We start from the raw sequence: 23,841 nt of genomic DNA on the forward strand, positions 1-23,841 counted from the left end.
ACAGAGTTGAGTTAAGGCATCCTTCCTTCGGTGTTTCTGAAAGAAAAAGGTAAATAAAACAAACTCAAAAGGAATATTTGGTACTTCACTCAGTTGTCCACCTGTACCTTGGTGAGTTTGTATTTATAGTGAGGAGAGATGACATTGGGAATAGGAACCAGCTGTTTCTGAGATACAGTGATGAACTTTTACAATATCCAGAGAATGTAAAAATAATATAAATTCCATGTGGGTGGCAAATTGTCCCCAAGTGGACTGACCCTTTGCAATGAAGAGAAAACTTGTCAGCATTGTATTTTTGTTGTAGGTCACCATGGTGATTAATGAACACAGATTCCAAATGTAAAATGTGGTGGAATCATTTTCCATGGCTGGTTAATAACCAGGTCTATTACTCCCATAAACCTCAAGTCACGTTGGTGACTCTTTCCTTCTACCTTTAACCTGATTACCTCCACATATGTATAATGCTCTGAAGATGAACAGATAGGCAATGAACTTGCTTTGCTTCAGAAAGACATTGAGGTAGAGAGAGGCTCAGACTGCAGTTGCTGTTGGCTCTTCCGTTGGCAAAAGATCCCCAGCTTCCAATTAGCTAGAGCAAATTGGAACCAAAGTAGAAAATTGAATCTATAGACTTGGCCTTGTATAATCAAGAAAACTTCAGAATTCTGGCTACTCTTATGGTGGAAATAGAACACACTCTCATCAATCATGCAGTTAAAGGTCCAAGCATATGAACATTATAAAGAACTACCTTTACTTTCTTTCTTTCTTTCTTTTTTTTGAGACAGAGTCTCACTTTGTCACATAGGCTGGAATGCAATGGCATGACCTTGGCTCACTGAGACCTCCGCCTCCTAGGTTCAAACAATTCTCCTGCCTCAGCCTCCCAAATAGCTGGGATTACAGGTGCCCACCACCACACCTCACTAATTTTTATATTTTTAGTAGAGTTGGGGTTTTACCTTGTTGGTCTGGCTGGTCTTGAACTCCTGAACTCAAGTGATCTGCCTACCTTGGCCTCCCAAATTGCTGGGATTACAGGCATGTGCTACCTTTTCTTTATTGAGGTGGATCTGTAATGTCTCCACTTACTCTGCAAAATACCTGTGATGAAGGGTCTTTTGGAGAAGACAGTAGTGAGATCGTGGTATTTAATCCTTTGATATTTAGTGAGAGAGTCCATTGTGTCTCACGTTATGCATTAGATCCAGAGTTAAGTTTACAAATATTTATTTCTGCATTGGAATTGATTGTGAGATTCTGTGTGGGTATTGTTGTGCTTGTGCATTTGTGTGAGTGTTGTAGTTGTTATTGTTGGTGGGGTCGTTAATAATGAAAGGGAACACATCCTCTCTTTGGTGATTCTCTTAACCCACTGTCAACTGAAATAGAGTTCATATAGTCTTGGCAATATTTGCAACACTCTGATACCTCTTAAAACAAATTGTATCTTTAAATGTATTTACAGTCTAGTTTACTACTGCTGCCTCTTTTCATTTCTATTGCCACCAGTTTAGCCTTAGTTTTCTCTTGCCTGAAAGAGTGTATTTCAGTGGACTTCTCTATCACTGGTTACCTTCCCCATAGATTCATTCCATCTTCAGTTGCCAGATTAATCTTTCTAATGCTCAATTCTAATGATGTCTCTCCCATTCCCAAATTTTCTCAGTCTTTCCCATTGCCTAACAAAAATAGAGTTCTAAAATGATATTTATTTCAAACATATGTGTGCCTGTCTCCCAACTCATTACATCTCTCAGCTTGATGCCTTTTCCCCGTTACTCTGGGCACAAAGCCTTCTTTTTCTGTTCCCGTTGCCGGAACTCACTCAGCTCTTCAGCACCTCACCAGGCCTTCGCTGTGCCTCAGATCTCGGTTCTGTGATCACATTTCTGTGTATCCGTCTCCCCGTGGGCAAACTCCTCTCTATACTGAAGCCCTTTTTTCAAATCTTCTAACTCTTTGCCCTGATGAAAATTCACCTCTTTTTACTGACAATGCTACATTTTCTCTTTGCCGTCTCCTGCCCTGGTTCAAAGAAAGAGAGACATTTTGATGACTGTCTGCATACTAAGTCGGCTATACAAGGGGCACCATTTATCAAAGAGCTATACCTATGTTACTGAGTGGAAGTGGTCTTTGCACCAAATGAGTAATTACAGCTCTTTCTCTTTTAATACTTTTTTTTTCTTTTTTTTTTTTTGCCAAACTCCTCTTCTTTTTTTGAGATGGAGTCTCGCTCTGTCGCCCAGGCTGGAGTGCAGTGGCGCTGTCTTGGCTCACTGCAACCTCCGCCTCCCGGGTTCAAGCGATTCTCCTGCCTCAGCCTCTTGAGTAGCTGGGACTGCAGGCATGGACCACCACGCCCAGCCCTCTTCTTTTTGAAAGGTTAGCATTGCTATGCTACCTTCCCTGAAGAGCCTTTTATGGGCTGTGTGATGGATTCCTGCAGAATGTTCTCCTGTGAGCATGCCTTATAGCTGAGGTCTAGGACAGCCCCATTGCACTGTTCTTGCATCTTCATTACGATGGGAAATAAATCCTGCCATGCCTTTGATACTTCTAAGCAGATATTCTTCTCTCCATTCCTAGCCTGCTTACTTCGTTGGGTTTGGTGAATAGAGTTATGATGTAGCCTAAATCTAGATATCCTTTTTGCTTTTACATTTTCTGTGTATGGGTTACTTTTATACCACCTTTTGAATATCCACATTTAATGACCTATCCCTGCACATGTACTCGGTTATTCTTTTAGGCACTAAAATATCGTATTATTTTCCATCACTTAATAGCCAGCTAAGCCGGATTCAGCTGTAAAGAGCAGTTCTAAATCTCCAAAGGCTCACAGCAATTTGCAGAAGCAGGAATTTGGTCTAACAAATTGTTTTTCTTATGATAAGTAACCTAGTCATAGTTTGTCTCTTTTTAAAATGCCTCATGAAACAGCAGCCACTCTCTGAATACTGCTGTTGATGGCACCATAGCATCGAAGGAGGACAGCATGCTGTCAGCTTGATGGCTGCCAGTCCTTTTGAACAATTTCTTGTCCTCATTTTCCTTTCTTTGTACCTGTTTACTGATAAAATTTGGTTGCAAATTATGTAAATTTAATATGGTAGCCTACATTCCTCTTGTAAGGAACAATAAGCCAAACTTATACTAAACAATCCCATGACCCTTCTTAATACCCTTTTGTAATTACTTCTATAATTGGATTATCAGAAATTATTGTCACATGTGAAGTCTCTTCAATAGGGCATAAGGAGTTGTCAGGAAGGGGGTAGGATTTTTATATTTTTGTCCCGCATATATGACTTTGCCTAAACAACTTTATGATACCAAAATTAATATAGAAAGAGAGTTCATAAAACTTGATTCGGCACCATAATATCTGAGATATAAATGCTTCCCGTGTTCTTTAAAATGTGTGATTTCTAAACTGAACTTATTTTGCTTAACTAACAAGTTATTAAAAGACAAAAAAAAAAAAAGCAACCCAAAGCAGCATATCCTTCTTTCCTTTCCTTCTTGTTATCCCATCCTGGAATAATAATATTCATCAGCTAACGGAAAGTCAGCTACTTCAAATAGTACTAATGGAACTTGCTAAATATACTGATTAGGGCTTTTTACTTTTTAAAATTTAGAGTGAAGTACTTTATAAAGGATTCTCTCTTTTTTTGGGCAGCTTTTTTACTGTATGGAAGCATGCATATGTTTCTCTTAATAGACTTTCAGCCTTGACTAACACTTTCAATGTTTTATAACTCCCAGGCTGGCTAAAAGTAATAATACCGGTTGAAATGTGATCAACACAAACATTATTTATTTGGTAATTTAATGCTCTTGGGAAGCTATTTGGGGGTAGTTTTCATTCTGGAGGTTGTCAATGGTAGAGAAAAAGAAAATTAAAGCAAAACTATGTCATGTACAAAGGAGAACAATTTTTAATTTGAGAAAATTTGCTCATGTAATCTTTTTTTTAATAGATCATTCTCTGTCAGAATATTTCTGGTCACTTTTGTCCCCAGCATACAAATACAAGAGTTGATTTCTAACTGTTCACGGTCAAGTCTGTGCCTGCAGCATCAATATTTAGCAGGCCACTTCCTCTAATTATATCTGTGATGGAAGGTGAAACATTAAAGAACCCTATTAGTGAGGCACGTCATGTCACATTACAAATTAGCAGAGGTCCTCAAATGTGGATTGGAATCACCTGCGGAGCTTTAAAAATGCTCATACCTGGCCAGGCATGGTGGCTCACACCTGTAATCCCAGCACTTTGGGAGGCCAGGGCAGGCGGATCACGAGATCAAGAGATCGAGATCATCTTGGCCAACATGGTGAAAACCCTGTGTCTACTAAAAATACAAAATTACAAAACCCTGTCTCTCCTAAAAATACTAAAAAATACAAAAATTAGCTGGGCATGGTGGCACACACCTGTAATCCCAGCTACTTGGGAGGCTGAGGCAGGAGAATCTCTTGAACCCAGAAGGTGGAGGTTGCAGTGAGCTGAGATTGCGCCACTACACTCCAACCTAGTGACAGAGTGAGACTCCGAATAAAAAAAAAAAAATGCTCATACCCACGTCCTAACTTCAGAGATTCCTAAATTGTTTTAGAATGGGGCCCAGGCATCAGCATTTCTCAAAGTTCCCCACATAATTCTAGCACAGCCAAGGTTGAGATCTATTTATATCTAGATTCATTCAATTACCTACAGTCTTCAAAATAAATCTTGAAAGTTTTAACAAGAGTAATTTCTCTAGGAAGTCTTTTTTGGAATGGATTCATTTTAAATTGCAGGAAGATTTAGTGAGAATATCAACAGAAAATCTTGGTCTTGGCCAGTTTTATGAATAAATAAAATAAGATAAAGACTGCATGAGACTATATTAAACTATATTATGCTAGTGTATGCTTTTCTCTGAAAAAATCATACTGAGTTTAAAAATTATGCATATGAAATTATTATGGACTCATAGGGGGCATAAGCAACTTTTATTAACTAATAGCAAGTGTTTATTTCTTTGAAACATAGAGGTTAAAAAGCCATCTTTTAATTGAATGCTTAAAAAATTCACTACTTTTGGTGACAGATGTTATTTGCACAAGAATGACAAAAATATTACCTTCTTTCACTACTCCTAGCACTATCCATCTAAATCCCAGACTTAATGCAATGAGTTGGAGATACATTACCTCCTGACAATTTCACAGTTATCTTTATCCATTATCACTGGCATATAAACCACATCTATTTTCTGATTTAGCAGTAGGAAAATCTGGGGAAATTAATTTAAAATATAATGTTTCTTTTCTTTTCTTTTCTTTTTGACGGAGTCTCACTCTGTCGCCCAGGCTGCAGTGCAGTGGCACGACCTCAGCTCACTATAAGCTCCGCCTCCCAGGTTCACGCCATTCTCCTGCCTCAGCCTCCTGGATAGCTGATACTACAGGCACCCACCACCACACCCAGCTAATTTTTTATTTTTTTGTATTTTTAGTGGAGATGGGGTTTCACAATGTTAGCCAGGATGGTCTCGATTTCCTGACCTCGTGACCCGCCTGCCTCAGCTTCCCAAAGTGCTGGGATTATAGGCGTGAGCCACTGCACCTGGCCTATAATGTTTATTTTCTAGAAGCAAAATATTTCTCTCTCTGAGCTCTATAACATATAGTAAAGTTCTTTTAATCAATTTGCCTCTTTTGACCTGGGGTGCTTTTTTTCCTATTTGATACCTTTATCACTGGTGATTTTAGAATAGACTCATTCTAGTTGGCTTTGAGATAGATACCAATACCTAAATGATACACTCACTACATAGCAACACTCATGTTTTGGTGACTTTTTGAGTTTATGCTGTTATACAATACCACAAATTGTATAATCATAAGACTTTCACCTCTGTGGCCTATCAACTCCAAATTGCAGCTAGGCAGATATGAAACTGCTTGACAGTGCAGTAGTGTCCTTGTTAGACTCATGGATGAGGAAAAGGCCTGCGTATTTTTCCAACCTATTCTCTGCAGGACAAGGCTAACTTATTTTCGGGCAAACACCTTTCCCTGGGTCTCCCTAGGAGAATTATGCCATTCATGCTAGGACATTCTGTAGTATTTGGAAGATAACCGTTGTCCCGAATGTTTGGCTCTAGTTTTGTTTAGAAGTAGTAATTGGTTTCAGATGAAGCTTTGCATAAGTTCAATTTCTAGTGTTCTATGAATATGTGAATAACGTTAAATTTTCTTCAAGGTGGTGATAGATGAATCCAAGTAAGCTTTCTGGGTAGCATTTAATTTGCTATCATGTGAGATAAAGGGTAAAAATCAAGCTAATTGATCAATTATATTTATTCAGGGATCTAGAAAAAACAATTTGTTTTTCTTAATCCAGAGCAAAGAATTGTAATCACTGCTGTATACAGGTTAAGCTTCTTACTGAAGAGGTCTTTCTGGGTGAGCCCCAGTGAAGGGTGTTTTACCTGTCTCTTGGGGTAAGAAGTCAGCCTTACCCCAAGAGATAGCCAGGGGAATCCACAGATTAATTCCCTTATGCATGAATCTGACAATGAGGCTATCAACATTATAAGCAGTTTTCTATCTAGCTACATTTTGGACTTTGTAGTCGAGTGAGGTGAAAGTCCTGTGATTGTACAGTTAGCACATTTTATATGACAGTATAATCTTAAAAAATAACATAGAAACAGAAACATTAGAAACGTAAGTCACAGTTTGTGAGTATGTCATTTTTTAGGGAAAAATAAAATATAGTAACGATTTATGAGGCCCCAAAGTTTTATATAAAAATGAAAAAGCTGTTTGGCAGTTAGGACTGACTGTAGCCTTCTGTCAAATCAGTCTTGACAACTGTTAAAAGACATTATCATCACAAATAGGGCTGCATTTCACTCTGTCTGTCAAATACAATCAATATATATGACTTTAAGAAAGTGTGACCATTTTCCCAGAGTGACACCAACAAGATGGTGGAATAGGAATTTTTGTTTAACTTTACTCACCTCACAGAAATCCAACTAGCAACTATCCACAGGCAAGAATACCAACCCAAATATTCAAGAACTTGGGAGTGAGTGCCACACCAGAGAAACTAGCCAACAGTGTCATACTGTAGGAAACACCGCCCACAAGTCTTCTAGGCTTGAATTCCTAGCGAGCTTCCCCACATTTGCCAGGTGCTTCTAAGCCAATGATTATGGAGGGAGCATCTGGCCCTGCCTGACCCTAGCAGTGGAGAGGTAATCCAACTAAGTTCTGGCGCTCACATGAAATCTTCCCCAGATTGGGAGAGAAGCAACTGCATGTCAGTGATTACTCATGGACACAATATCTGGTCCTGCCCAAGCCTAGCAGTGAAGAGATGATCCAACTCAGCCCTGATGCTCTCATTATGTCTTCCCCAAACCAGGAGGCAGTTGCAGGTCAGTGATTACCCATGGAAAGAGCATCTGGCCACCACCAAACCTTGGCGTTCTACTCTACCCTAGACCAGTAGGTAAGCCCAAGTCCACACATGTCTATAGGGCATATCCTCTGGCCTTGTCCACCTTGTGTGGCTGAGTAACAACCACAAAAATCTCACCCAGCATGGGAGCCTGTCATACAGCCGTGCCCAACTACAGGTTCCAAACAACAGAGCCAGGGAAGACAACTTGCAACTCTACCTAATCAGTCATGGCTGCAGAGTCCAATCAGCAGCCTCACCTGATGGCAAAGTTCAGCTAGTGGTTTCACTGATCACAGAGCACAGCCAGAAATACTATTTGATCTCAGAGCACAGGAAGCAGCTCAGCCCAATTATAGAACCTGACACCAAGCAAAGGCTGCCAGCCACCCCTCCAGAATCTCAGGCTAGACTAAATGGTAAAGATCTATAACCACCAAAAAACACCTGCAAAGGCTGGAAAATTTGGCTTTCTCCTCAAATGCACAGGCATAAGGACACAAAGATAATGAAAAATCAGGCAACATGACACCACCAAAAGAAACCAATAAAGCTTGTGTAATAGACCCAGAATAAATGGAGATCTATGAAATGACTGACAAAGAATTTAGAATAATCCTCTAAAAGAAGTTCAGGGAACTACAAGAAAATACAGATAGAGAATTAAGTGAAGTTTAGAAAACAGTTTATAAACAAAATGAAAAGTTTGACAGAGAAATGGAAGAAACAAATAAAAAAATCAAATGAAAGTCATAGTGATAAAGGATATAATAACTGAACCCTAAAAGTCAATAGAAAGCTTCAAAGAAGACTGGATATGGTGGCACGTGCCTGAAATCCCAGTACTTTGGGGGGCTGAGGCGGCTAATCATTTGAGTCCAGGAGTTCAAGACCAGACTAAGCAATATGGAGAAAACCTGCCTCTACCAAAAAAAAAAAAGAAAAATTGCAAAATTCAGTCAGGAATGATGATGTGTGCCTGTAGTCCCAGATATTCAGAGGCTGAGGTTGGAGGATTGCTTGAGCCCTGGAGGTTGAGGCTGCAGTGAGCTATGATTGCACCTTTGCACTCACTGGGTGACAGAGTGAGACCCTGTCTCAAAAAAAATGACTAAATAATAAATAAATAAATAAATATACTTTAAAGCAGATTTAAGCAGCAGAAAGAATCAGTGAGTTCAAATATAGGACATTTGAAATTATCGAATCAAAGCAGTAAAAATCAACAATATAAAAGAGTGAAGAAGGCCTATGAAAATTATAGAACACCAGTAAGTGGACTAACCTTTGCATAATACAAATTCCTGAAGGATGAGAGAGTGCAAAAGGCTTAGACAGCATATTTAAGAAAATAATGGCTGAAAAATTCCCAAATCTGGAGACAGATAATCTCATGGAAGCTCAGAGGTTGCCAATCAAATTGAACCCAAAGAGGAGTTTACTATACACATAATAATCAAATTATTAAAAATTAAGATAAAGAATACAGAAAGTAGCTACAGAAAATAAGCATATCACATTCAAGGGAGCCCCAGTACATCTTTCAGCTTATTTCTCAACAGAAATCCCACAGGCCATGAGAGAGTGGGATGGTATACTCAGAATACTGGGGAAAAGAAAGACTATCAACCAAAAATACTATACCTGGTAAAGCTGTTCTTCATAAATGAGGGACAAAAAAAAAACTTTCGAGCAAATAAAAACAGACAAACAAAAGCTAAGGGAGTTTATCACCACTAGGCCTGCTTTACAGGAATTACTAAATGGTTTCTTTAAGCTGAAAGAAAAGGCTTTTAATAACAAAAGATATGTGAATGTAAAAAACTCTTTGGTATAAGTAATGCCTGGTCATACTCTGAATTCTCTAATACTGTAACGGTGGTATATAAAACAATTGTATTCCTACTAGGAGGGTTAACACACAAAAAAATTGAAAACAACTATAGCTAGAATAAATTGTTGAGATAGAAATTACAAAAACAAATGTAAATTTGGACTTCAATATCATAAAAGTTGTTGGGAGGGTGAAAGTGTAGTTTTTATATGCATGTAAAGGCAAGTTGTTATCAGCTTAAAGTAGCCTTTCATAAGGATGAGATATTTTATGTAAGCCTCATGACCACCACAAAAGTAGAAACCTATAGCAGTTTCACAAAATGTAAGAAGAAAGAATTCAAAGCATATCACCACAGAAAACCATCAAACCACAAAGGAAGACAGCAGGAAAGGAAGAAAAAAAGAAGGGACCTAAAAAACAATCAGGAAACAAATTACAAAAAGACAGTAGCAGGTTCTTACCTATCAATAATTACCTTGAATATATGTGGTGTAAATTCTTCAATGAAATGATATAGAGTGGCTGAATGGATTAAAAAAGAAATAAGATCTAACCCCATCCTACCTACAAGAGCCTCACCTTATCAGTAATGATACATGAACTGAAAGAGAAGGGATGGAAAATGGTATTCCATGCAAATGGAAACTAAAAGGGAGCAATGATAACCAACTTACATTAGACAAAATATAGTTTAAGTAAAAAACAATAAAAAGAGACAAAGAAGTTTGTTACATAATGACAAAGGAGTTAATTCATCAAGCAGACATAAAAGTTGTAAATATATGTGCACTAAACATTGTAGCACTGAAATACATATAGAAATTATTAAATGATCTGAAGGGACAGATAGATTGCAATACTGTAATAGCAGGGGAATCTGAACACCACACTTTAAACAATGGACAGATCATCTAGATGGAAAAGAAACACTGGAATTGAATTGTAATTTAGATCAAATAGACCTAATAAATATGTACAGAACATTCCATCCAACAATGGTAAAATACACATTCTCCTCAAATGCATATGGAACACTCTCCAGATAGATCACACATTAGGCCACAAAACAAATCTTAACAAATTTAAGAGAATGAAAATAATACGTGTGATAACAGGTTAACATCCAAAATATATAATGAACTCAAACAATTCAATAGCAAGAAAACAACTCAAATTATATGTTGGCAAAGTACTTGAACAGTCATTTTTGAAAAGAAGACATATAAATGGCCAATAGGTATATGAACAAATGCTCAGCATTGCAAATCATTAGAAAAATCGAAACCACAATAAAAGAGCCAGGCATGGTGGCATCTGCCTGTAATTTCAGCCACTTGGAAGGCTGAGACAGGAGGGATCATTTGAGACCAGCCAGAGCAATATAGTGAGGCTCTGGCTCTGAAACAAAAAATGAAAAATAAAAATAAAAATAAATTATATAATGGGTATCACCTCATACCCATTAGAATGTCTTTATCAAAATGATGAAAGGCAAGTGTTGGGAGAGGATATGGAGAAAAAGGAACTTCTGTATATTATTGGCGGGAATGTATATATTATGGAGGTTCCTCAAAAAACTAAAGATAGAAATATTGTATGACTCAGTAATTCCACTTCTGGGTATATATTCAAAGGAACTGAAATCAATGTCGAAGGGATGTTCATTGCAGCATTATTCACAATAGCTGAGATATGGAAGCAACCTAAGCATCCATCAGTGGATGAATGGATAAAGAAAAGATGGTGTATATACATAATAAACTACTCTTAGACCTTAAAAAAGGGGAAAATGCTGTCACTTGTGACAACATGGATGAATCTGGAGGACCTTATGCTAAGTGAAATAAGCTAGGAACAGAAAGACAAATACTGTATGATTGTACTTTGAACTCATAGAATTAGAGAGTAGAACAGTGGTTACCAGAGGCTGGGGTAAGGGTAGGGGGTTGGGGAGGGAGGGAATGAGAAGTTGTTAATCAAAGGTTACCAAGTTTCTAATAGACAGGAAGAGTAGGTTTTAATATCTATTGCATAGCAAGGCATCTATAGTCAATAATAATGTATTATATACTTCAAAGTAACTAAGATAAATGTTTAAATATTAATTTTAAAAAAAGAAGTGTGGAGGCCAGGCGCGGTGGTTCATGCCTGTAATCCCAGCATTTTGGGAGGCCAAGGCGGGCGGATCACCTGAGGTCAGGAGTTGGATACCAGCCTGACCAACGTGGAGAAACCCCATCTCTACTAAAAACACAAAATTAGCCAGGTGTGGTAGTGCGTGCCTGTAATCCCAGCTACTCAGGAGGCTGAGGCAGGAGAATCGCTTGAACCTGGGAGGTAGAGGTTGCAGTGAGCTGAGATCGTGTCATTGCACTCCAGCCTGGGCGACAAAAGCGAGACTCCATCTCAAAAAAAAAAAAAAAAAGAGGTGTGACTAGAAAGAGTGTCAGAGAAATTGGAAGGGTAACCAGAAATCAGCTACTTTTGGCTATCCTTGTGGGAGAGGGATTTTAGAATTAAACCTCAGACCAATGCCCAGTAAACCAAGTGGAAACTGAGTTTCTCAGAATTGCCTTGCTGGGAGCAAATTGTGTGATATAGAGTGGCTGAATGGAAAAAACAACAACAAAAACAACAAGATCTAACCACATGGTACCTACAAGAGACTCATATTACTAGTAAGGAAACAAACTGAAAGAGAAGGGATGGAGAAAGTTTACCCATGCAAATGGGAACTGATAGAGAGCTGGGATAATTAACTTACATCAGACAAAATAGAATTTAAGTAAAAAACAATAAAAAGAGACAAGGAATTTGAAATCACTTATTTATTGTTGTATAAGTCAACCAGCAAACTATTCTAAGTACCATAAAGGATATGTCTCCATCAGGTTCACATGACATCCTTGGTGTCTGACCATCACTTGCTTAGTAATTCAGCACATCCATGGGCCTATGGAGCTGATGGTGGGAAAACGGGCCTGATTTTGCAGTAGAAAAAAACTGAGCTGGAAAACTGAAGATTTCATTCTGGACTCAGCTTTCCCTGTATATAATGATTGGCTTTCAGACACTTCAGTAACTTCTTGGGGCTGTTTCTTTATGGTGTCATTGGTTTGGGTGGTGGATTGTGTGCCTTTAAGGACATTCCACTTCTGATACCGCTTGATTCTAAATTCCATTTATTCTGTTCCATTCTTTCATTTCTCTCTTTTGTAGTTGAATTTCAAGTAACCAGTTATAGATGTAGCTCAGAGTGCCACATTTTTTGTAAAGATAAGTTTCAGTTTGAAGTCTAACCAGGTGATTATTTTTGATATAAAACCAATTTATTCTTCATATACTGAAGACAAATGTGTACTTCTTTGGAATGATTGCTGTTAGTTATGAGAAGAGATTGTACAGCCATGGAAAAAATATTCGTTATCCATGAACATTCACCCGCTGGTTTTCTTCTAGGTTTCTTCCCCCATTTTGGCAAGCTAATTGAAGTTAGGCTATTTCTAAATAAAGAGATTCACTAATTGCAAGTTGGCCAGTTTCTTGGGAGATTTTGGAAAGTCAAAATAGCTAGAAGGAATTCTAACAACTCTCAAGCCCCAAATCCCTTTGTGGTTGATACAGTTCGATTTTCCCATATTCTTTTCTTGATTTGTCTCATTTCTTCCCTTCACTAGTTTCCCATTTCTGAAGAAGGAAGTAAAGTGTCCGAATTGCATTCAGGGCATTTAAAAAGAATTTGTTCTGCATCTCTAATTACCTTTATCTATTATGTGAGGATTTTACTCACTTTGCCAAATTGCATTGCTACAAAGCCCATTAGGGATTTTTAAAACCAGGATTAGAGCATGCTGCATATTCAGAACTTCAGTTATTAATTCATTTCTAGCAGAAAAATTTTGTTCTAATTATTGTAGCATTGCAATGTTGGACATTGGTCAAAGCTTTCAAAAATGGTTAAAAAAGCAACTTGAATTTACAGTTGACCTTTGAAAACCACAGGGCTTAGGAATACTGACCCACAGTGGAGTCAAATATCTTTGTGTAATTATGAATCCCGTGAAACTTAACTACTAATAGCCTACTGTTGATAGAAAGCCTTAACAATAACATAAATGATGTATACATATTTTGTATGTTATTTTGCTATATGCTGTAGTCCCTCCTTTTTTTTCCTTTTTTTTTTTTTTTTTTGAGACAGAGTCTCACTTCGTTGCCCAGGCTGGTGTGCAGTGGTGCAATCTCGGCTCACTACAACCTCTGCCTCCTGGGTTCAAGCAATTCTCCTGCCTCAGCTCCCTGAGTAGCTGGGATTACAGGCATGTGCCACCACATGCGGCTAATTTTTGATGATGGCCAGGGTGGTCTTGAACTCCTGACCTCAAGTGATCCACCCACCTCGGCCTTCCAAATTGCTGGGATTAGATGTGAGCCACCATGCCTGGCTGCTGTATTCTTACAATACAGTAAGACAGAGAAAGAAAAATATTATTAAGAAAATCATAAGGAAAATAAAATATATTTACTATTCATTAAACAGAAGTGGACCATCATAAAAGTCTTCATCCTTGTTGTCTTCACTTTAACTAGGCTGAGGCGGATGAGGAAGATGAGGGTTTGCTCTCAGAGACAGCAAAGTGAAAGAGGTAGTGGAAGTAGAAGGGGAGGCAGGAGAGGCAGGCACATTTGATGTAGCTTTATGGGAATAAATTATAATTTATCTGAATTTTTGCTTTTTTATTTCCTCTAAAAATGTCTCCATAGGCTACTGATACTCCTTCCACCATTTGGTTGTTTCAGTGCTTTTACCATGGAAGGGTTTATAGCATAAAAGAAGTCAAAAGCAGTCCTGAATAATGGGAACCCTTCTTTCAGCTTGTCTAATGTCAATTTGTTTTCTGGCACTACTTCTTTTATGTCTTCCTCATCATCTGGTGCTGGTTTGGAAGCACTCATCTCCATCAAGTCATCTTCCATCAACTTCTCTGGTGTGGTATCTACTAGCTCTTGAATTTCTCCAAGGATCATATCTTGAAACCCTTTCCCCCAACCTTTTCTGCCATGTCCACAATCTCTTTCGTGATTTCCATGATTGACTCTGTGGTAAATCCTGTAAAGTCATGCACAACATCTGGACATAATTTTGTCCAACAGGAATTTATTGTGTCAGGATTTGATGGCGTTCATAGCTTTTACTATAACGGTTATGGCATCTTCAATATTGTAATTTGTTCACACTTAAATGATGTCCTCTCAATTGGGGCTCTCCCAATAGTGTTGACAATTCTCTCCATAGGGTACCATGTGTAATGATCCTTAAATATCCTAATGATTCCTGATCTAGAGACTGAATTAGAGACATTGTATTTGGGAGTACGTAGGCTACTTAGATACCTTTGTGTTGAATACATGGGGTTCTGGGTGTTCAGGAGCATTGTCCAGTATTAAAAGAACTTTAAAAGACAGTCTCTTACTGGCAGGGTACTTCCTGACTTCGGGGATAAAGCATCAATGAAATAAATCCAAGAGGATTTTTGTTGTCCAGGCCTTCTTGTTATGTAACTCAAAGACTGGCAGCTGGTGTTTCCCTTTTCCTATCAAGGCTCAGGAGTTAGCAGCTTTAAAAATAAGGGCAATGCAAATTTTAAACTCAACTGCATTTGCACAAAACAGCACGGTTAGCGTATGCCTCCTGCCTTAAGTCCTGGTAATTTCTTCTCTTCTTTACTAATAAATGTCCTAGGTGGTACTTTCTCCTCCAGACTAGAGCATTTACATTTGCATTAAAAACCTGTTCAGGTAGATATCCTTTCTCAATAATTTTCTTAATGGCATCTAGATGCTTATCTGCTGCCTCTTAGTTGGCAGAAGCTATTTCAGCTGTCATCTTGACATTTTTAAAGACAAATCACTTTCTAAAATTATCAAACCATCCTTTGCTGGCATTTAATTCTTTTTGCTCAAAGTATCATATAATGAATTTGCTTTGCTTTCTCTTGAATCTTGAATCTATAGGGGTGCCTTTCTTATAACAATTCTGTACCCACATAAAAGCTGCATTTTCAACATGAAATAAAAAGGTGTTTCACAAAAACTGCAGTGTTGTCGCACCTATTGGTGTAGCTGCGGAGATGACCTCACAAATTTTCTTTTCTTCTTTTTTTTTTTTTTTTTACAATTATCCTTATGCTGAATTCAGTTATTTTGAAATGGATAGCAACCACAGCTGGAGACCTCAATCTACGGTATGTATTAAGCAGCTCAACTTTTTCTTGTAATGGCATGACTTTTCTCTGATTCTTGGGAACACTCAGCATCACTAGTGGTGCTTTGAAAGTGTATGTATCCTGTGGTGTTATTCGAAGTTTATGGCATTGTACTAAACACAATGAAAAATACGCAAGAACCATGGGAGGTCACTTTGTACTGTGATACCCAATTTACTGGAGAGATGAACTGCTCACACAAAGATGATTAGTTTCACATGATATTTTAAGTGTATGCTTGCAACACTTGAGCTCACTACAATAGCAACAGGAGGTGGCTACAAAGTTATTACAGTAATACAGTGTGGACTATAGTTAAATTTATGCAGTTATGATTTAATACTGTACCTTTTAAGTTTGTTTACATTTCTCTCAACTGAAAATGGCTCCATGTGTTATCTGTAAGTGTTTGTGTGCATAAATTTTGATAAATGTTAACTTTTTACAATAGATTTTATGGTAGTAATTGCTAAAATGGATTAGTATCTCTATATACTTTGTGCATTAATGACATCTTTTTCTTAAGTTGTACAATATTTCTTAATTTTTAAAATACATGGTTCATCTGCAAGTTTTTTTCAAATTGTTGCAAATCTTCAAAAAAATTTTCCAACATATTTTTTGAAAAACATCTGCATATAAGTGGACTCACACAGCTCAGGCCTGTGTTGTTCAAGGGCCAACCATGTTTTATTTCATTTTTGCTTTTTAAAAAATGTTTTCCCAGCTTTATTGAGATAATTGGCTCATAAAATAGTATATATTTCAGGAGCACAAAGTGATTTGCCATACATACACATTGTGAAGTGGTAACTATCCTACAATCAAGTCAGTTAATACATCCATCACCTTGCATAGTCAGCTTTTTTTGTAGGTGTGGTGAGAACACTTAAGATCTACTCTTTTATACATTTTCAAGTACATAATATGGTATTATTAACTGTCATCACCATGATGTACATTAGCTCTCCAGAACTTCATCTTATAACTGAAAGTTTGCAGCCTTTCACCAGCATTCCCCATTTCCTCCACTCCTCAGCCTCTGACAATCACCATTCCTCTCTCTGTTTCTGAGTTTGACTCCTTTAGATTCTACATGTAAGTAGGATCATACAGTATTTGTGTTTCCCTGTCAGGCTTATTTTACTTAGCATAATTCCCTGCAGGTTCATCTATGTTGTCACAAATGGCAGGATTTCTTGCTTTTTTGTGGGTGAATAATATTTCATTGTAAATTTACACAGTTCTTAATCCATTCATCAGTTGATGAACAGAGTTTTTTCCGCATATTGGCTATCATGAATGCTACAGCGATCATGGAAGTACAGATACCTCTTTGAGTTATTCCTTTTGTTTCCTTCAGATAAACAGAACAGGAATTGCTGGTTACATGGTAGCTTTATTTTTAGTTCTTTGAGGAGCTTCTATACTATTTTCCATAATGGCTCTACCAATTCACATTCCCACCAACAGTGTACAAGGTTCCCTTTTCTCTCCATCCTTTGACAACACTTGTTATCTTTTGTCCTCTTGATAGTAGCCATCCTAATAGGTGTGAGGTGTTCTCTCATTGTGGTTTTGATTTACACTTCTCCCATGAGTAGTTGTGTTAAGAATCTTTTTTTTTGTTGAGATGGAGTTTTGCTCTTGTTGCCCAGGCTGGAGTGCAGTGGCACAATCTCGGCTCACTGCAACCTCTGCCTCCCAGGTTCAAGCAATTCTTCTGCCTCTGCCTCCTGAGTAGTTGTGATTACAGGCGCCCATCCCCATGACCAGCTAATATTTGTATTTTTGGTACAGATGGGGGTCTCACCATGTTGGTCAGGCTGGTCTCGAACTCCTGACCTCAAGTGGTCCACCTGCCTTGGCCTCCCAAAGTGCTGGGATTGCAGGCATGAGCCACCATGCCTGGCCGTGGTAAGTACCTTTTCATGTATCTTTTGGCCATTCATGTATCTTCTTTGAATTTATTTTAAAATATATTGGTTGATTACATTCTGTGGCCAAAATAAATATATCACCCCTCTCCCTTATACACAACACCACTCATTGTACTGTGATACCCATATTTTTATCCTACATTCTAAGGGCAGTCAACAAATAATGCCATGCCAATTTGCAATATTTAAAGTCAGCCACATAATAATATTGATAGTAACAGATTTCTTAAAGTTGAAAATCCTAAATATAAAATCACTTCAGCTCAGAACATTTACGCAAAACAAATTTTATAAGTCATGGGAGAAACAGATGTCTAGATGAAGCTCTTCAGTGGAAAACTTATGTTTGCCTTCATTGAGTACCACAGGGTTCACCTCAGCTAACGTGGTGAAGTGTGTTTATAAGCACTTCTATTTGGGCACTTTTTTCCTGACACCTCCCTCAATCATAAGTGTTTTATATCTCTCACTTTCCTTTTCTGCTTAGCAAAAAATCCTCATAGCTAGTCACACAAAGAATTCTTGGTTATTGGATTAATTATTAAAGACAACTGTTCTGAATTGTAGCCTGAAAAAGCCTTTCCTATTTTTTCAATAAATTACAGGCATCTACATATCAGAAAATATTTGAGTAGAAGGGTGAAGAGGCCTCTGAAATGATGTCGTGACCAACTGCTTGGACCTTTATTTCCCATGATTTGAGTAGCAGAGGATAGAAATATTTAAATGATGGAATCACATCTATTGATGATATTGTTCCCCTTTGTAGGTTGGCTGAGGCTACATCAGGAAGCTAAGGAGCCAAAGGAACCTAGAATTCACTTCAGCAGCTCTCTGGTCTTTACACTAGGACACAGGCCCAGCCTTTTCTTTGCTACCTGTAATCTGAATCCCTTCCTAACTATGTTAGAAGACTTGTTGGTGAGGGTGTGTAGATAAAGTTCTGGTGTTTGCTGCCTCCGGATTTAATACATTATAAATGTGACAGGTGTGAATTGTGTTCCCTAACACTCAGATGTAAGATGTTATGATTTTTTTTTTAAATTTTGGCAAGCTTAATAAGGCTCCATATCTACAGTCAGCAGGTTGTTAAAAATACTAAAACCGCAAACTCACTAATTTGACAGCATTCCACGACTTCCATTAAGCGGGGCCACAAATTGGGAGGTTTCTTTGGTGTCTAGAACAGAGAACAGGACCTGGCCTTTAGTCAGTAGCATTCCTCTCTGTCTTCACAGTCAGTACTGGTGATCTTTCTGGTCAGTCTCAGGCTTCACATAGGGCTTCCTCTTGCAGGAGTCCTGTCTGCAGACTATGAGCTTCCCCTGCTCACCCACAGGGACTTCCTCTGCTGCTCTGAATATGCAAGTCCTGGGAGCAGCAGCTGAATGTGTAGAACTCTGTCCCAATGATCTGGACTCTGCACACCAGTAGGATCCAGGACTCTGTTACTCACAGAAACACCCCCATAGTCCCTGGCTCTTTCCAAGTTTAAGGGAAGTCAACTTTTCCTCCTCAATTTACCCACTCCAGTTTTCTCCCACTCTTAAGCATACCCTATCCACTTCACCCCTAAACTTTGGCTCTGAGCCTCTTTTTGTGTTTTTATAAACAACTGTGTTTAGTTCTACTTCAGAAAAGAGAAGGTCCATTTTTCTTGGATTCAGAGGCTTAGGTACTCTCTTGAATGTGTGTGTTGGAGATGGGGGATGGGCAAGGCTCCTTTGACACTTTAACAAAACACAATTTAATGTCTCAGTATATTGTACTGTCACCACCTGACTCTTTGTCAGAATAGAGATTGATTACTTAGGCTTTTAATATTTTTGATTGTTGTAGGTTTTTTTTTTTTTTTTTTTTTGGATACTGCAAGGCGGGGAGAAGGGCTGATAAAGTATGTGTATGTTGAGTAGGGCCCAAACATATGTGTTCAATAGCAGTAGAGTTGCACAATATCCTAAGAAAGTAAAGCAAGGAAAATAGAGCAAAATTCCACATAATGTGAAGAGGAAAATTGTTGGAAGGATATATACTTGGCAGTACTGAATTTAAGTATTGGCATTTGCCCTTTCAAAATGTGCTTATTAAGAGAAGTGGTACTTGAACATTAACAAAGTGATTAGGTTAGAAGAAACATGTGAAACAGAAGCATGCTTTTGAATAAAGGGTAATGTTATTTTTATGTATTGTTTATTCATTTTTTGTTTATTTCAAAATTGGTACACCTGCAGTACTGGAGCTTCAAAGACAATGTCTCCACTGTCAATGATTAAACACTTGTGCAAGGGAGTCAGATATGCCTGGTGCTGATAATACCATGGTGGGTTCAGTGCAGTCAGGATGGTGTGAATGAAGAACTTCTAGAACACTAAGGAATATGTAAAATATACCCTTCTTCTGAGGAAGTAGAGTTGACATTTGAGCTTGAAGGACCAATTGGAATAAGGTTTCCGAAATATGTTATGATGGGTGGGAGTGTGGAATTGCAAGCAAAGCAAAGAGTGTGACCAAACTGGCAACGTTGGAAACTGATCATAGACTGTTTGAGGAATGGCAGGTCCCCTGATAAAAGCAGTGCCAGGAGAGAGTTGCTAAGCCTGGAAAGAGCCTTGCAAGAGTATTCAAAGAATAAGGGCTTCGTTTCACAGGCAGTGAGGAACTGTCGTCATCCTTAAGCTGGACAGTGATGTGTTCAGACTGCTGGGTCTATTCTTCCTCCGTTCTTTCCTTCCTTTCTTCCCTCTTGATGATTTCCATGCTTTGTGGAGGTTGTGTTAGAGTAAAAATAAAAAATACATAAAGCGTGGCACTGTCATTCTCTGCTAGTGGAGATGCAAACTGACACAGCTCTTCTGGAGGAAAAATAGGTGATACATAACAAGACCAACTTTTAACTCAGGATCTTACTTTCAGTAATTTATGCAAAAGATCTACCTGCAAGAATATGAAAAGACAAGTGGATAAGATTATTTACTGTAGTATTCTTGGTAATAGCAAAATATTAGATGTTTTGCTATTACCTAAATATTCACACCTAAGAGAATGGTTGAATAAATGATAGTGCAGCTACACAGTGGAGTACAATGCAACTGTAAAATAGAGTGAGGAAAGTTACTGTGAATTGATTGCTATTGAATAATGTCCAGGATATGCTGTAAAGTGGAAAGGCAAAGTGCAGAAGGGTTACTCTGAGATATTCCTTACTTAATAAAATAAAAAGGATATATGAAAAATAAGCATGCACCTGCTAATTTGTACAAGAGAAATACTGGAAAGATAAATCAGAAACCAGTGAAATAAATTACCTATAGGAAGTGGATGAGGAAGGAGTAGAAGGAAGAGGACCGAGGTAGTAGAGATGAGGAAGAACAGCACTTCTCTTATGCCTTAGTTTAGCTTGGCCTTTAGGAAGTAGAGTAGACTGGGCATGGTGGCTCACGCCTGTAATCCCAGCATTTTGAGAAGCCAAGGTGGGCACATCACCTGAGGTCAGGAGTTCAAGACCAGCCTGGCCAACATGGCAAAACGCCATCTCTACTAAAAATACAAAAATTAGCTGGTTGTGGTGGCACGTGCCTGTAGTTCCAGCTACTTGGAGGCTGAGGTAGGAGAATCACTTGAACCCGGGAGGTGGAGGTTGCAGTGAGCTGAGATTGTGCCACTGCACTCCAGCCTGGGCAACAGAGAGAGACTCCCTCTCAAAAAAAAAAAAAAAAAAAAAAAAAAAAAAAAAAAAAAAAAAAAAAAAGCAGAGTAATGTTTCATCTATTTAAAAATAAATAAAATTAACCAAGAAACCAAAGGGAATACAAGCAGTAATAAATGAACTTCACTGTATTATAAATGACTCCACCTGGAGGAAGAAGAAAAACTAACCTAAGTAACTTTGGAAAACAATATTCTGACTAGATATTATGAAACTAAAGTTTAGAAGATGCATAAACAAATAGCAAATACTGTACTTCAGTTAGTAACTTTGTTTCCCACAGGGTGTGGATTAGTAATTGTGAAGTTACTTTTGATGTTCTTGGATTGAGGAAATAGTATTCTATAGATAATGAGAGGTGGATTTCTTTGTATTGAAAAAATCAAGTTACAAATAAGGAGAGGGAGGAATATAGAATAAACCCTGTGGTGTTGGATTGGGATGAGAGTTATTAATATGAATGCATAGGTTTTCATGTATATGCAGATAGACACCAATAGGAATACAGATGTGTGTGTATGTTTATGTGTATACATCCATGTATTTCCTAGCTCTGCCTATTGAGAGGGACTAGAAGCACTGAAGCTCCAGTAGCAACAAGCACACCTTGCTCGTAGATCTTGGTTTCTAAATACAGTTTTTTAATGAAAGAAATTATCTCCTTCAAGAAATTACTGATTCCAGAGATGGAACAGGGAGAATGTAAGATGACCTTGAGATGTCTTGTGGTGCCAGAAAGTACGAAGGGGTCCAAAAAGGATAAGGACATGTTGAAAGGATACAAGATTCAACCTGCAAGAGTTCCCAATGGTCAAAGGTGGCACAGCTTGAGCAAATAAGTCAATAAATAACAATGGTATTCCATTATAACCTATAGGGTAAATTAATATCTAGATGAGTCCTTATTGGTACAAATGTTAAGAGCTTTAGACCAATTTCACAGAGGTTATCTAAGCAAAACCAATTCATCAATCAGGCAGCACTCAAAACCAGAAGAGGTTTAAAGAGCTCCATCCAGTAACCTGAGTAGCAAGCTATTACAAGCTGAACGTGGAAGCAAGGTAGAGAAATCATCTGATTAGTTACAGCTAGGCGTTTGCCTTACTTCGGCATGGTAGGCTGAGGTATTTCTGTTATTTAGCATAGCGTATTGAGTTGGCTGCCTCTGATTGGCTGAAATATGGCTGTTACAAAAACTATACTACCAAATTACGTTTTGGTTTGTTTGCATTCTTAGGTTAGGTTGTTGCAGTTTGTTACATAGGAACGTTAAGTACAGAGGCAGCCTCAAACAAATGGCCTCCTTCTTATATAATTTACTATAAATAAACACTTGAATAGAAGAATGGGGAGAGGGAACTTTTTTTGTTTTCACGGAATTTGATTTAAAAATGTAAAAAGAATGAAGGAAATGGAAAATCTCTTGGGTAAATAATACAGTAATTATTGACGCAGGCAGGATGTACAGGAACTCTTGATGCAAAGTAAGTCTAAAATTATTCGACACGGACAGAGAGAGAGAATGAGAGAGAACAAACCTGGGAGATGAATTGTGAAATTTGGCAATGGCGAGGCCATGAGTTAGAGCAATGTAAAATTTTATGCCTGATAAAATGGGATTAGAGGTGCTGGGGGAAGGAGGGAGGAAGAAGGGATAGAATTGGATCTGTTAATCCACTTTGGATAAATTCAACAGCTTACCCTTATATTTGAAATATTTATTTAGCATTGAGCAGCTCAGTGGTGCCAGTGACTTTGAAGGAATGAGAGAAGCTCTGAGTCTCCAAATTGAGATGGGCTGAGAGCCAAATCTGGAAAATCCTTTCATGGGAGAAATTCAATCTCTCCACTATTTCCTTTTGTTAGGATTCTGGATGTCTCCCTTGTTATAAAAGGAGAGGGCTAAACCAAATACAACTGAAAAATGATGCAACAAAATGACCTTATCACCAAATGAGAGCATCGCAGGGCACTCCATGGTTTCTTTTCCTCAGATGCTGTGCTTCACCAGGGCTTTTAGACGATTTTAGAAAGCTGTTTTAGAGAACCTTCCTTCTGTGACCAGCTGTAATAAGGGTTGGGTTGTGCACGCAAGTGCACATGATAGACCAAAGAGAGTAGGGATTTTGACTGGATGCTGTCTGAAGGCACAATAGAAAATGAGTTAAATTTCTTTTAAAAAAATCTTTTAATTTTTTGGAGAACACATTAAAGCATTTGTGAAGATCTTGTATTGCAAAGTATTAAAGAGAAAAGAAAAACTTACGGTATAGGTAATAGATTTGATATACATTTGGACTTTAAGGTATTAAATATTGCACAAGATAAGTATGCCATCCTCTGTTAGATAAAACAGTCTTAATAAAAGTGACCACTAATACTTTATATGTATACATTTTAATGTTTATAAAACCCTACAATGTAGTTAATATCCTTGCATTTTACAAATAAGGAATCAAACGTTTGGAGAAGCATTATCTGATAGAAACATGCAAGTCACAAATTTGAGTTATGTATATAAGTTAAGTTTTTTGCAGCCACAATAAAAAAGAGAAAAAGAAACAGGGGAAAGTAATTTTAAATATATATGTTATTCAACTCAATTCATCCAATAT

At 37.9% G+C, this 23,841-nt stretch overlaps 1 protein-coding gene across 17 annotated transcripts in view, besides 2 other annotated features; it reads left to right on the top strand.

Moving 5' to 3' along the window:
- The window catches only part of UNC5D (unc-5 netrin receptor D), a 561,066-nt gene that overhangs the window by 43,752 nt on the left and 493,473 nt on the right, over positions 1-23,841 (top strand). The window lies entirely within an intron of this gene.
- Positions 6,936-7,436: an enhancer, noted in NCBI's record as "H3K27ac hESC enhancer chr8:35143680-35144180 (GRCh37/hg19 assembly coordinates)". NCBI's record gives its function as "activates a minimal SCP1, AML or CMV promoter by ChIP-STARR-seq in primed H9 embryonic stem cells {active_cell/tissue: H9 hESC(primed)}" and the evidence as "EXISTENCE:reporter gene assay evidence [ECO:0000049][PMID:30033119]".
- Positions 7,437-7,937: an enhancer, noted in NCBI's record as "H3K27ac hESC enhancer chr8:35144181-35144681 (GRCh37/hg19 assembly coordinates)". NCBI's record gives its function as "activates a minimal SCP1, AML or CMV promoter by ChIP-STARR-seq in primed H9 embryonic stem cells {active_cell/tissue: H9 hESC(primed)}" and the evidence as "EXISTENCE:reporter gene assay evidence [ECO:0000049][PMID:30033119]".

This window comes from Homo sapiens, chromosome 8 (assembly GCF_000001405.40).
Source record: "Homo sapiens chromosome 8, GRCh38.p14 Primary Assembly".
Classification (NCBI taxonomy): Eukaryota; Metazoa; Chordata; class Mammalia; order Primates; family Hominidae; genus Homo; species Homo sapiens.